The sequence below is a fragment of the Homo sapiens genome, chromosome 14, assembly GCF_000001405.40.
Source record: "Homo sapiens chromosome 14, GRCh38.p14 Primary Assembly".
NCBI classification, from domain to species: Eukaryota; Metazoa; Chordata; class Mammalia; order Primates; family Hominidae; genus Homo; species Homo sapiens.
The window spans coordinates 30,567,811-30,582,928 of NC_000014.9; the positions used below are offsets into that span (position 1 = coordinate 30,567,811).

Genomic DNA, 15,118 nt, shown 5'->3' on the forward strand with positions numbered 1-15,118 from the left:
TTAAAGTTGTTATTTAATCTCCATATGTTTCTCAGTTTTCCAGTTTTCCTTTTATTGATTTCTAGTTTCATTCCATAGTCATTGGAGAGGATATTTTGTGTGATTTCAGTCTTGTAAAATGTATTATTTTGTGGTCTAACATGGTATATCCATGGATATTGTTCCACGTGCATTTGAGAAGAATGTTTCATTCTGTTGTAGGGTGGAGTGTTCTGTATATGTTAAGTCTAAACTATTTCTCCTTTCATTTCTGTCAAATTTTGCCTTGTATATTTTGGGGCTCTTATTAGGTGGGTTTGTGTTTATAATTGTCATGTCTTCTTGATGGATTGAACTTTTTAGTCAGTCTTTAATGTCCTTTGAGTCCTGTAACAATCTTCAACTTAAAGCCTGTTTTGTCTGACATTAGTATAAACACCCAAGCTTACTTTTGATTACTGTTTGTATGAAGTATCTTATTCTGTCATTTTACTTTCCATCTATTTGTGTTTTGATATCTATAGCTTGACCCTAGTAGATAGTGTATGTATGGATTTTAAAAAAATTCATTCTGTCAACCTTTGCCTTTTAATTGGAGCGTGTAATTCATTTACATTTAATTACTGTTAAGGAAGGATTTCTGACATTTTAGTATTTGTTTTCTAAATACTATCTTTCTGTTCCTCATTTCCTTCCTTATTGCCTTTTGTTTAATTGATTTGTATAGTGTACCATTTTGATTCCCTTCTCATTACCTTTTCTGCACATATTTTTTAGTTATATTCTTAGTGGCTATCTTGGGGATTACAATTAATATCTTAAACTTATAACAACCTAGTTTGAATTAATACCCACTCAGCTTTCATAGTATACAAAAATTACACTTCTGTATATCTCATCCTTCTTCCTAAATGTTATTGTGTCAAATTACATTTTATATTTTTTGCTTATTTTACATTTATACATAATGTGCCCAATAACATTGATTTATATTTATTTTACGTGTTTTTCTTTTAAATCATAAAGGAAAAAGAGAATTACCAAAAGTGCAATAATACTACTGGCTTTTATATTTACTTCTGTAATTACCTTTACTGGTGTTTTTATTTCCTCGTATGGCTTTGACTTACTGTCTGGTGTCCCATTAGCATCTCTAGTAGGACAGATCTACTAAAAGTTTCCCTTTCACCCTAGACCCCAGGTCTACCAGACCTTCTGAGAAACAGCCATTCTTGTCTGTCTCCTGGATGATTTTCCAGAGAATATAAGCTTTTAAGAAACTTTTTATTGAGGTATAATATATATGCCAAATATATTTTAAGTACATAATTATGTTCATTGTAAAAAGTCAAACAATGCCAAAATTTATAAGAAATTAAAAGAAAAAGCCCCTACCCCTTCTCTCTCCCCAGGGATAACCACCATTAACAGTTAGGGACCTAAAAACTTTATGGTCTTTCTTGATCTCAGAAACTTCTGATCTTTCTGAATTCCTTTCACCCTTCCTTCTCTCCATCGAATTACTTCTCCTGCTTTGCATATAAGAACCCTAATAGGTAGGTATTATCATCTCCATTGGACACAAGGCAGAGCAAGGAGTTCAAACACAGAAAATGTATAATTCAAGTGTAATGTTCTTTCTGCCATGTTCCTCTGCCTGGGTCCTGCCTGGAATCTTAAAAGTTTAATTGCTCTGTCACATAAGGTAGCAGATACATTGTCCTGTTAAAATATAATTAAGGCCTTATTTTTTAGACAGGAGAAGACCTGGTTCTGTGGGAGTTGTGACAGAATAGCCTTTATTGCCTGAACTGTAGTAAAAAAGATGCCACCTGCTTTAAGAAGGGTACTTTGGATTGGGCTGGTTATTTAGAGCCTGACTTGGTCAGTGGAAGGGGCTAGGACTGGAATAAGACCTGCCCACGAAGTCAGGGTTAGGACCAGCTGGTGAAGGGGGGGGATTATATTACTTACTATCTGATAATCCAATCCAAGGAGATTTATATAATCCAACCAAATGGCAGAATCAGCAAGAGCAACTTCCAGAAGAAATTCCTGACATTCCCCAAACATCCCAGGCTTTCACACACTGTTGTACCTTTGCACACACTCTACTTAGAATGCTTTTTCTGCCTTGTCTGCTCAGAATATTTATTTTTCACAATTACGTTATAATATCACCACCTCTGTAAGGCTACACTGCATGTGTGTGAAATATTTGTTTACTTGCCTGCCTCCCATGTGAGTATGTGTACTCATCTTCACTTTTGAAACATAGTTTTGCTGCAGATAGGATTCTTTGCTTACAGGTTTGGGTTTTTTTCCTGTCTTTCAGCACTTTAAATATGTCATCTCACTGCCTTCTGGAACTCTATGGTTTCAAATGAGAATTTGGCTCTTAATCTTATTGGGGATATTTTGTATGTGTTAATCACTTCTCTCTTGCTGCTTTCAAGATTCTTTGTCTTTGTTTTTGTCAGTTTGACTATACTGTGTCTCAATGTGGATCTCCTAGAATTTGTCCTGATTAAAGATCTTGAGCTTCTTAAAAATGTGTAGATTGAAGTCTTACCTGTATAGATTTCAGTCTTCCATGAAATTTGGGAAGTTTTTGGCTATTATTTCTTCAAACATTCTTTCTGTTCCACTTTCTCCGGTCCCTCTTGGACTCCTATTAAGCATATATTGGTATACTTGATGGTGTCTCATAGTCTCTTGGGCTCTGTTTATTTTTCATTTTTTTTCTTTCTGCTCTTCAGACTGGATAATTTCAACTAACCTGTCTTCAAGTTCGCTGATTCTTTCTCCTGCCTGCTCAAACGTGCTGTTAAACCTCTGTAATGAATTTATTATTTCAGTTATTGTACTTTTCAGCTGCAGAATTTCTATTTCCTTTTTATCATTTCTACTTCTTTATTGATATTCTCTATTTGTTGAGACATTGTTGATTGTGAGTTTTTTGCCAGGTTTTTCTGTGTTTCTAGGGAGGTACAGGCCTGCAGAGCCCCTTGCTCCACCATTTTCGTGGATGTGTTCTGTATTACTAAGTTTGAAGAGTTTTTTCAGAAAATATATTGTGGATCTAACTAAGTCCTTTATCAGATTATGATTTGCAAATACTTTCTCAGTCTGAGGCTTGTCTTATTCTCTTAACAGTGTCTTTTGATGAGCAGAAGATACTAACTTTAAGTACAGTTTATCTTTTTTTGTCTTGTGCTGTCAGTATTGTATCTAAGAAATCTTACGTAACATAAGGTCACAGAAATTTTCTCCTCTGTGTTTTTTCTAGAAATTTTATAGTTTTACATTTTGTATTTAGAGCTGTAATTCATTTTGAGTTCATTTTTTGTGAGACAAGTATTCTTGTGGGTGCTGTAGTGGGTTTGCTTTTTTTTTTTTGCTATTTTAATGTGCATTTCCTTTATGACCAGTGATGTTCATATTTTCTTTTGCTTGTTGGCTATGTTGTGTTTTTTTTAAATGTCTGGTCAAATCTTTTGTCCATTTTGTTCATTTTATTGTGATGTCTATTTGAGTTGTAAGCATTCTTTATGCATTGTGGATATAAATCCTTTGTCAGGTATATGTTTTGCCAGTGTTTATTCCCAATCTGTGTTTTGCCTTTTTCTTTGCTTAACTATGTTTTTTTGATTAGAAAGTTCTTAATTTTGATGTTTAATTCATCAGTGTTTTTTATGATTCAGTTTCCTAAGAAATCTTTGCCAAACCCCAAGATCATGAAGATTCTTCACTATGTTTTCTTCTAGAAGTTTTTTTTCTTGTGATCCAATTTGAATTAAGTTTTAATATATGAGGTCAATGTTCTTCCCCCCACCCTCCGCCCAAAGCATTCAGTTATTTCAATACTATTTATTGAATAGACTACCATTTGAATACAGTGAATTACCTTGGTATCTTTGTTGAAAAGCAATTGTCTGGGTCTGTTTCTGGCCTTTCCCTTGTGTTCTATTGAGCTATATATCTGACTTTTCCCTTATGATCTATTGAGCTACACATCTGTCTTGATTAACATAGCTCTATAAGAAGTCATGAAATCACATAGTTGGAGACCACTTTTTCTTTTTAAAAATGTTTTTGCTATTACAAGACTTTTGCATTTTTATATAGGTTTTAGAATCAGCATGCCAGTATCTTAAAAAAAAAAAAAACCTGCTGGGGATTTTGGTTGGGATTGTGTTAAATTGACATCTTAACAATATTACGCCCATGAGCATTGTCTATCTCTTCATTTATTTAGGTCTTTCATTTCTCTCAGCAGTGTTTTGTAGCTTTTCAGAGTGTAGTCTTTTTCCACATCTTTTACTAAGTTTTTACCTATTGTGAATAGAATTGTTCTCTAATTTTCTGATTAATTCTTGCTGTTATACAGATTTGCCTTGTTTCATTACAACTTGTTAAAGTCACTTATTCTTATAAATATGTTGGTAGGATTTTCTATGTAGATGATCATATGTGAAAACAGTTTTACTTCATCCTTCACAGTTTTGTCTTCTTTTCCCTTGGAGTACACTGTTGAATCAGAGACTAAGGTGAACGTTTGTAGATTCCCTTCGCTAGGTTGAAAAAATTTATTTTACCCACAGTTTGCTTTACAGTTTTGTTATGATTGGATATTGACATTTGTCAGATGCCCTTTTGTATCTGTTGACATTGTGTCACAGTACAGTGTGGAAATTAATGCACATTTGTAGATGCCCTTTATTAGGTTGAGAAAATTCCCGTCTGTTTCTGGTTTGTCCTACAGTTTTATCATGATTGGTTGTTGAATTTTGTCAAATGCTCTTTCTGCATCTATTGAGATGGTCATACTTTTTTCACCCCTTATTGTATTAACATGGTGTATTACTTTACTTTTCAGATGATATCTAATCTTATATTTCTAAGATAAATCCAGTTAAGATATATTATCCTTTTTTTTTTAATTAAAAGAAAAACTACCAATGATTGACTAAATTTGCCAGGTACTCTTGTGGCGTTTATGTGTTGTTTCTAATTCTTACAATAACCTGTAATTAGCTTCTAGTTTGAGGGATGATAAAATTGAGGCTGAGGTCTCAGGAAAAAACATATAGAACATGAAGGAAAGTCTAAACTTCATACCTTCAATGCCCCTAGTACTCTTTCTACTATACCATGCTACTTTTTGTAATAATTTATGGTTAAAAAACATTGAAGATCATATTGATGTTTTATGTACTTTTTTTTTGGATGGAGGTCTCACTATGTTGCTCAAGGTGGACTCAAATTCCTGGGCTCAAGCAATCCTCCTGCTTCAGCCTTTCAAGTAGCTGGGACTACAGGTGCATAACACTGTGCCTGGCTTTTATGTACATTTTTAAGATATGTTTATTATTTCCTAGAATGTAAATAATTGATTCATGAAAAAAAAATTCTAATAGCTTTTGACCTCTACCATTGAATGTCTTTCTTCTAATTTTATCTTAGCTGTTGCTGTGAACCAAAGTAACTAACAAATCTTTAAGAGTATTTCTTTTTGTCTCCAAATTTGTAGGAGCACATAAAGTGTATTAACTATCTATCCCGAGGTAACATGGGTGTATTAGTCACAGTTCTCCAGAGAAACAGAAACAACAGGATATGTGTGTGTGTGTGTGTGTGTGCGTGTGTGTGTGTCTCTGTGTGTGTAGAGAAGGAGAGGGAAGGATTGATTAATTTATTATAAGGTATTGACTCACATGATTATGTAGTGTGAACAGTCCCATTATCTGTTTGCAAACTGGAGACCCAGGAAAGTCCCGCAGTGTAGTTTGAATGTCTGGAGCCAAACAGCTGATGGTATAGGTTCCAGTCCGGATCTGAAGGCCTGAGAACCAGGAACACCAAGGACAGAAGATTGATGTCCTACCTCAAGCAGTCAGACAGCAAATTTAACCTTTTTCTGCCTTCTGGTTTTATTCAGGCCCTCAGTGGACTAGCTAATGTCTACCCACGCTGGGGATGGCCATCTGCTTTGCTCAGTTCACCAGTAAACTGAGTAAAGTTTACCAATCTTTTCCAGAAACACTCTCACAGACACATCCAAACATAAGTTTAACCAGATATCTGGGCGTCCTGTGGCCTGGTAAAGGTAACACATAAAATTAACCATCACACTGTATTAATCTTGATCTTGAATTTTTTGGGAATGTTTTATATTACTTTTAATTCAATTATTTTTAAACCTTTTTTTATTTTGAAATTATTCTAAAGTTACAGGAAAGTTGCAAGAAAAGTACAAAGAACTACATATGCCCTTACCTAGATTAACCACTCTTTATTATTTTCCACATTCACTTTATCATCCTGCAGTATTGTACATTTGCATGTAACTTCCCTTTTCTGAACCGTTGGAGAGTAGGTTGCATATATCTGGTCCCCCTACCCCTTAATGCTTCAGTATTTCCTAAGAACAGTGATAGTCTACTAAATAACCTAAATATGGATACCAATTTCAGGAAACTTAGCATAAATACAATACTTTCAACTAAATATTGTTTTGGTCAATTGCCTCGGTGATGTCCTTTGGAGCAGTTTTATTCCCCAGTGCAGGATACAGTCCAGGATCCTTCATGCATTTGTAGTAAATAAAATACAGTTCATCTTTTTTTTTTAACTTTTTTTTTTTTTTAGGTTTGGGGGTACATGTGAAGGTTTGTTACATAGGTAAACAACATGTCATGGGGGTTTGTTGCACATATTATTTCATCACCCAGGTATTAAGCCCAATAGCCAATAGTTATCTTTTCTGCTCCTCTCCCTCCTCCCACCCTCCTGCGTCAGGTAGACCCCAGTGTCTCTTGTTTCCTTCTTTGTGTTCATGAGTTCTTATCATTTAGCTCCCACTTACAAGTGAGAACATGCGGTATTTGGTTTTTTGTTCCTGTATTACTGTGCTAAGGATAATAGCCTCCGGCTCCATCCATGTTCCTGCAAAAGACATGATCTTACTCTTTTTTATGGCTGCACAATATTTTATCGTGTATTTGTACCCTATTTTCTTTATCCAGTCTGTCACTGATGGGCATTTAGGCTGATTCCACGTCTTTGCTATTGTGAATAGTGCTGCAGTGAACATTTGTGTGCATGTGTCTTTATGGTAGAATGATTTATAGTCCTCTGGCTATATACCCAGTAATGAGATTGCTGGGTAAAATGGTAGTTCTGCTTTTTGCTCTTTGTGGATTGCCATACTGCTTTCCACAGTGGTTGGACTAATTTACACTACCACCAACAGGGTATAAGTGTTTCCTTTTCTCCACAACCTTACCCGCATCTGTTATTTTTTGACTTTGTGATAATAGCCATTCTGACTGGTGTGAGATGGTATCTCATTGTAGTTTTGATTTGCATTTCTCTAATGATTAGTGATGTTGAGCTTTTTTTCATATGCCTGTTGGTCGCGTATATGTCTTCTTTTGAGAAGTATCTGCTTATGTCCTTTGGCCACTTTTTAATGGGGTTGTTTTTTTCTTGTAAATTAAAGTTCCTTATAAATGCTTTTGATAAAATTCAGCAGCCCTTCATGTTAAAAACTCTCAATAAACTACATATTGAGGGAACATACCTCAAAATAATAAGAGCCATCTATGACAAACCCACAGCCAACATTATACTGAATGGGCAAAAGCTAGAAGCATTCCTCTTGAGAACCGACACAAGACGAGGATACTCTCTCACCACTTCAACATAGTTTTGGGAGTCCTAGCCAGAGCAGTCAGGCAAGAGAAGGAAATAAAGGGCATCCAAATAGGAAGAGAGGAAGTCAAACTATCTCTTTGCAGATTACATGATTCTGTATCTAGAAAACCCCTTAGTCTTGGCCCAAAAGCTTCTCCAGCTGATAAACAACTTCAGCAAAGTTGCAGGATGCAAAATCAACATACAAAATTCACTAGCATTCCTATACACCAAAAACAGCCAAACCTAGAGCCAAATCAGAAAGGCAATCCCATTCACAGTGGCTACAAAAAGAATGAAATACCTAGGAATACAGCTAACAAGGGAGGTGAAAGATCTCTACAATGAGAATTACAAAGCACTGCTCAAAGAAATCAGAGAAAATACAAACAAATGGAAAAACATCCCATGCTCATGTATAGGAAGAATCAATATCATTAAAATGGCTATTGTGCCCAAAACAATTTACAGATTCACTGCTATTCCTGTCAAACTACCAACAACATTCTTCACAAAACTAGAAAAAGCTATTTTAAAATTCATGTGGAACGAAAAAAGAGCACAAATAGCCAAGGCAATCCTAAGCAAAAAGAACAAAGCTGGAGGCATCACATTACCCATCTTCAAACTATACTACAAGGCTCCAGTAACCAAAACAGCATAGTACTGGTACAAAAACAGGCACATAGACCAGTGGAACAGAATACAGAGCCCAGAAATGAGGCCACACATCTACAACCATCTGATCTTTGACAAAGATGACAAAAAACAAGCAATAGGGAAAAGACTCTCTGTTTATTAAATGGTGCTGGGATATCTGGCTAGCCATATGCAGAAGATTGAAGCTGGACCCCTTCCTAACACCATACACAAAAACCACCTCAAGATGGATTAAAGACTTAGATGTAAAACCCAAAACTATAAAAACCCTGGAAGACAACCTAGGCATTATCATCCTGGACATAAGAATGGGCAAAGATTTCATGACAAGGACTCCAAAACCAATCGCAACAAAAGCAAAAATTGACAAGTGGGATCTAGTTAAACTTAAGGGTTTCTGCACAGCAAAAGAAACTACCAACAGAGTAAACAGACAACCTACAGAATAGGAGAAAATATTTGCAAACTATGCATCTGACAAACATCATGTTTTATTATGCAGTGCTGAATCAGAGAAATTAATTCTTTATTATGTATGGGACATCCATAGACAACATTTCTGAGTTGTAAAAGGAATTTAGAGTACATCGAATAATGCAATGCATAGACTAAGTTGAACCTTTCTGATTAGTGATTTAAATCAAGTCATTTCTATAGCAAGAATGTTCATTTCTTAAAAATGCTAGATTAAAAAAATCAATCAATTTCTCTTTCAAGTGCCTGATTCCAGCATGTTTTCTGTATATTCAATGTCACCTTTTTCAGTAAGATTAGGCACTTTAGAAAATGTTGGATGGGGCCAGGCACGATGGCTCACACCTGTAATCCCAGCACTTTGGGAGGCAGAGGCAGGCGGATCATGAGGTCAAGAGATTAAGACCATCCTGGCCAACATGGTGAAACCCCGTCTGTACTAAAAATACAAAAATTAGCTAGGCGTGGTGGCGTATGCCTGTAGTCCCAGCTACTCGGGAGGCTGAGGCAGGAGAATCACTTGAACCCAGGAGGCGGAGGTTGCAGTGAGCCGAGATTGCGTCACTGCAATCCAGCCTAGCAACAGAGCAAGACTCTGTCTCAAAAAAAAAAAAAAAAAAAAGAAAAAGAAAAAATGTTGGGTGGTTAGGATCTGTTTATTTATTCAAATGTTAGCCATCAGCTGGAATGAGAAGGAATTTGACTTACTTTTTTTGTGTTAGTTATCTGTTGTCGTGTAACAGATAACTCCAGAACTTGCTGGTTTTAAACAATAAACATTTAATTACTGATAGTTTCTGTTGATCAGGGATTTGGGAGCTGCTTAGCTGTGTGGTTCTGGCTTAGGGTCTTGTATGAAGTTGCTCTCAGGCTGTTAGCCAAATTGCAGTCGTATGAAGGCTTGATTGGGGCTGGAGGATTCACTTCTAACATGGCTTATTCACATAACAGAAGGTAGAATGGCCTCCATTCCTTACCAACTGGGTGTCTCCATGGTGTATGTTGAAAATTTTTATGACATGGCAGCTGGCTTCCTCCATAGCATGTGATCCATGATAGTGAGGAGGAAGTCACAATGCCTTTTATGACATTGTCATTTCTGCCACAGTCTTTTTTGTTGAAGCAAGTTAGCAAGCACTAAGCACATCTACAATCAAGGAGAGGGGCAGGCTTTACCTTTTGAAGGAAGAAGTATGAAAGTGTATCACTGACTGATCAAGTAGAGGTAAGCAGTGGAGGACACTCAGAATACCTTTTGACAGAAGGTATTAATTAAATTGTTTATTTTCCAGGGAAGGGAATGGTTTTATTTTGTTTCTAAAGTCCAGTCTGTTATTAAGACTTGGACTGTTATTGAACTATACACTTAGATATTATTTTTTTTTAATTCTGCTTGGGAAGTCTTAAAATTCATATTCTTGAAGGAAAACATCTAAAAGAAATTATGAAATTCAACTGAAATATGTGAATAGTACTTATTTTTTTTACTAAGGTTTTGTTTTGGAGACTTGTTTGAAATAAAGTGATCCTCATTCAGGATTTAGAAACAAAAGTTATACTCCACATGCTAGGGATTAGGAAGGCTAATGTGAACTGATCAAAAGTATGAATTATGGAATGCCTTTAGAATAATCAACTTTTAGGTAATTTGATACTGCTATAATTTCAAGCTTAGAGAAAAGTTGTAAGAATGGCATAAGGAACTCCTATATATCCTTTATCTAGATTCACTAAATGTTCATTTTGTGCCATTTGTGTTATTCTTTGTCTCATCCTAGCCCAGTCAGCCTAACACCACCAGGGATAAACCAGTAGTCTGATAAAATTAAGTTTATTGACCCACGCCAGTGAGAGAGAGTGCAAACAAGAGGGACCACAGGGCTTCTTACCAAATGGAGTTACAGTAGATTTTATACAGGATTTTGGAGAAGGATAGCATTTAGGTAAAATTTAAATGCACTACATTTTGTGGTGTCTAGGTTGGATGACAGTGTAAATCTGTATTGTCGAATGACTAAAACATCCTTTATAAATTAAACTTTTTATGTTTAAGTGAAGTACTATTTATCATGTGTTTATGGAATTTTCTGCAATAAATTCATGTGTATGGATGGATTTATGATATGTTGAATTCATCACCAGAGGTTGAACTGTAGAGAAGTCCTTTAAGAGGAGGCATTTTATCTTCCTATTATATTTTATCAATTTTAAGATGGACTCAACCCTTCTACACACACGCTTCTTTCCATATGGATATTCAGTTTTTCTTGTACCATTTGTTTAAAAGATTTTATTTTCCCTCGTTGAATTGCTTTGGTGTCTTTGTTGAAAATGACTGGAAAAATATGGATCTGTTTCTGAGTTTTATTGAGAACTGGTCTTAGATGTATCAGCATGTTTAAAATGATGTTCTATAGATTGTGATCCTCAATCAATTTGTTCACTTAAGGCAGTTCTGTAGTTATTGTTTGAGAATGTATAAACATCAAAAGCGCCATCGTATACCTGTAGAGAATTACTAGTGCCTCTAAAAGGAAGAAAAGAAAGAAAAAAATCCAAGAGACAATAAAGGAGTGCTCCTTTAACCCTACATTAATAGTTGTGGAGAGGAGCTAGGAAAAATAGTACTCTAGACCTACTTAACTCTAAAGCCCCCTTAAAACTGGGCTCTTAGTTGTTTTATACATTCTTTTAAGAATACCAATCTTAATGGCATAGAATATTATTTTGTAAGGAATAAACAAAATATTGAAAGCTTAGAGTCAAAGCCATTTAAGAGATTTGAACTATGACTTTTTAGGAAAGCACAGAAATATATATGAGCAAAACTATGTTTAAATCCAAAACACTTTTTACAGTCAGTATGAAATATAAATTCTAATTGTAAGGAAGCATTGTATAAGTTTAATTTGGTTAATCAGTCTTCATAAAATAATCTGTGTCCTACATTTTGTGGTGTCTTAGATTTGATGAAATCTGATAGCAGTTTGTATTTGTGGTTTTCACTCTTTGATATATAATATTCTGTATTATTTTTTGTTCTCTTTCATTATTTTCACATGAAGTACCATGGTGTAACCTGCAGTCACTCAGTTATGGGTTAGTGTATTCCCACTAACTAACTCCTTGACCTTGGACAGGTGTTTAACCTTTCTGAGAACTGGTTTTTGCAACTATAAATGAGATTATATTTACCTAGTGGCATTATTATGTTTTATTCTTTTCCACTTAAATACCAAGAGATTGCACATACATTGTACTTAAATCTCATTAACATTTCTAGTAGGCTGTTCATATACCCTTGGTGAAGTGAAACTTTAATGTTATTAAGATGTTGGTCTTCTTTTCTTTGATCTTTTAGAGAAAAGTTATATTTCAGTAATGATTATAAGTATTTTTATTTGTTTAACTAGTGGAGAGTGAGGAGATAGGGACAGACCAATGTCTTTCAGTATGTAAATGGTTGAGCACTACCGTACTAGAAGAGGTAACAAGACAGTCAGGTGCCTGCAGCCCTGTATAGAATCCTGGCAAATGCAACAGCCACAAATACGGTATAGACTAATAAAGGATTGTTTTTGTTTTTTTTTGTTGTTGTTTTTGAGATGGAGTTTCGCTGTTGTTGCCCAAGCTAGAGTGCAATGGTGTGATCTTGGCTCACTGCAACCTCCACCTCCCGAGTTCAAGCAATTCTCTTGCCTCAGCCTCCCGAGTAGCTGGGATTACAGGCATGCACCACCACGCCCTGCTAACTTTGTATTTTTGGTAGAAACAGGGTTTCACCATGTTAGCCAGGCTGGTCTCGAACTCCTGACCTCAGGTGATCCACCTGCCTCAGCCTCCCAAAGTGCTGGGATTACAGGTGTGAGCCACCAAGCCCAGCCAAAGGATTGTTTTATAGGCTGCACAAATACGAATGGCATGGCTATTGATGATGTGATTTTTCTTTTTTCCTAAATGATGAACAATTCTGGGTAAAGCTTTGAAGAAAAATTAAATAGAAATTTCCTTGATTGACATAGGAGTTGTAGTTCTGCAAATATAATTTGTTAATATGTAAAATGGGCTTAGGTTCTAGGTTAATTACAAGTAGATTTTTTTAACCTACTTGAATGTCCAGATGGAAATTTGAAAGTCTAGACTATCGTTTGTTGTGTAGGACTGTTTGGAGCATTGCAAGATGTCCTATAATCCTGGCCTCTTTCCACTAAATACCAGTGGTCATCTTAATTGTTTTGACAGCTAAAAAACATTCCCTTCAATTTAAAAAATGTTCCCGACTCTTAACACCCCAGTTGAGAACTACTGATCTTAGATGTATTAAAGGTAAGAAAAATTTAAATACTAGAGTATTAGATGACTTATTTGTCATTATGCATTGACTGCAAGTAATAAAAGTTGTTAATTTGAGACTTTTACAATTAAGATGACTGTATTAATGTTATTTTTCCTAGTAAAATGAATGAAAGTAAACCTGGTGACTCACAGAACCTTGGTAAGTAACTGTATTTAAAATAATTTTATTACAATGAGTGTTTTAAATATGTTACTTAAACATTAGGACTGAAGAGGAATGAATTCCCTGGCACAAGCTTAGTTTGTATGTCCACATACTAAAGTATAATATTGCATATATTTATTTCAACAAAAACCTATCAGAAGGCAATTTATTTGCCAAATTTTATATTTGTTTTATGTATATAAGATATGGTTCGTATCTCAATAAAACAGTTATTTAAAGGAAAAAATGCAGATGAGAACAATTTAAACAGTGTGTAAAAGTTTAACAGGAAAAGGAAAACTGGCCAGGTGCAGTGGCTCACGCCTGCAATTCCAGCACTTTACGAGGCTGAAGCAGGCAAATCACTTGAGGTCAAGAGTTCAAGACCAGCCTGGCCAACATGACAAAACCTCATCTCTGCTAAAAATACAAAAATTAGCCAGGAGGCGCATGCCTGTAATCCCAGCTACTCGCTAGGCCGAGGCAGGAGAATCGCTTGAACCCGGGAGGCAGAAGTTGCAGTGAGCAGAGATCGCACCACTACACTTCAGCCTAAGTGACAGAGCGAGACCCTGTATCAAAAAAAAGAAGAAAAGTTAAAGAAAATAAAAGGAAAACTTACCTCTACGTGCTCACAACAATCTTCCCAAATAGATGCGGTCCGTTTTGACCTTTGCTTTTAATTGTTGTTTTCTTCATTTATTATAAACAGTATCTGTTGTCTTGCTACAATGAAATATGAGGAATTTAAATGATTACACTCTTCTGCCACTTCTACCTCATCCACTGTATTTTAGATCCTTTTAAATTCACTCTAAAATTAAAATATTATTCTTACAACTCTATATCTTGATCATTACTTTTAAAGTATCTTTTGACACCACATTATGTTGGATAAGGAAATTTATGCTCCTAAACCTCTTCTACTTTCTTTCCCTGCTTCTACCTCCAGCCTTCTGTCAGCTATGCTAATAGTTCTGAAACTTTTAGTACTTCATGGACTACCTCTATGCATTTGCCAAATGCAAATACACATCTACTATTGATACTTTTTCCTAAGATGGACTGTTTCTTTATTTACATGAATGTATTTAAGGTAGAAACTTTACTTCATTATTGTAATAGAAACCAGTATCATTTACTACACTAGACACCAATCTTAATAATAAATATAATGAAATCAGGACAATTTTACCAAATTTTAAACATTAAAAGCAGGAAGGTACAAATGAATATAAAAATAATCTACTTATAAAAATGCATGCCTGAAACCTAGTCTGTTCTGCATTCAAGGCCCTCCATACTGGGTAGAGGGAGACAAGGGGAGAGAGGAACAAATGGAAAACCACAGGTCCACAGCATACAGCAGATGTACCTCCATCCAGGGTTCATGGCAAGAGTTTCCCCTCTTCTATAGTTTCAGCCAGTTCACAAGGACTCCTCTTTTGTAGACTCAGCTAATTCTACATAATTCTCTTTCTCTTGAGCTTTATGCACACTTGCGGGTAAAAGTGTAGGTATTGGGGATGGAGTTAAGGTGGAGCTTACTGGTGTAGAATGTCCAATATGAACAAATGGCAATTTGCTGGAGTTAATGTGAACAGTTCCCTTGTATGGAAGGGAAGGAAGAGGAGCTGAAATCTTTTAAAGGGTTAGGAGAGATACTTCGAGTTATGACTTATCCCTTTAAACCAGAGTGAGGGAGGGCAGAGTAGTTAGGCTATTTCACTATATTAAATACGAGCTCATCTTATTTCTTTTCAGTTCTAGAATCTATTTGGTGAGCAGCCTATTAACAAATATAAT

The 15,118-nt window shown here is 35.5% G+C and overlaps 1 protein-coding gene and 1 long non-coding RNA gene across 9 annotated transcripts in view; one reads left to right on the forward strand and one right to left on the reverse strand.

Moving 5' to 3' along the window:
• G2E3-AS1 (G2E3 antisense RNA 1) overlaps positions 1–9,547 on the reverse strand; it is a 139,366-nt gene extending 129,819 nt beyond the window's left edge. Inside the window, exons 1-2 of the long non-coding RNA NR_151720.1 lie at positions 9,520–9,547; positions 5,697–5,824 (exon numbers count right to left, since the gene is read on the reverse strand). This is a non-coding gene — a long non-coding RNA (G2E3 antisense RNA 1). The remainder of the gene's footprint in view (positions 1–5,696; positions 5,825–9,519) is intronic.
• G2E3 (G2/M-phase specific E3 ubiquitin protein ligase) overlaps positions 1–15,118 on the forward strand; it is a 60,907-nt gene that overhangs the window by 8,653 nt on the left and 37,136 nt on the right. For 4 of the 8 annotated variants that reach the window (NM_017769.5, XM_011536926.3, XM_047431554.1 and 1 more), the window contains exon 2: positions 13,266–13,306. The exons of 3 other annotated variants lie outside the window; for them this stretch is intronic. In NM_017769.5, the coding sequence (NP_060239.2) occupies positions 13,270–13,306 (37 nt within the window). In that variant the 5' untranslated portion in view covers positions 13,266–13,269. Of the gene's footprint in view, positions 1–9,950; positions 10,037–13,265; positions 13,307–15,118 lie in introns of those variants that run through there. One more of the 8 variants, XM_011536925.3, reaches the window with a different exon arrangement.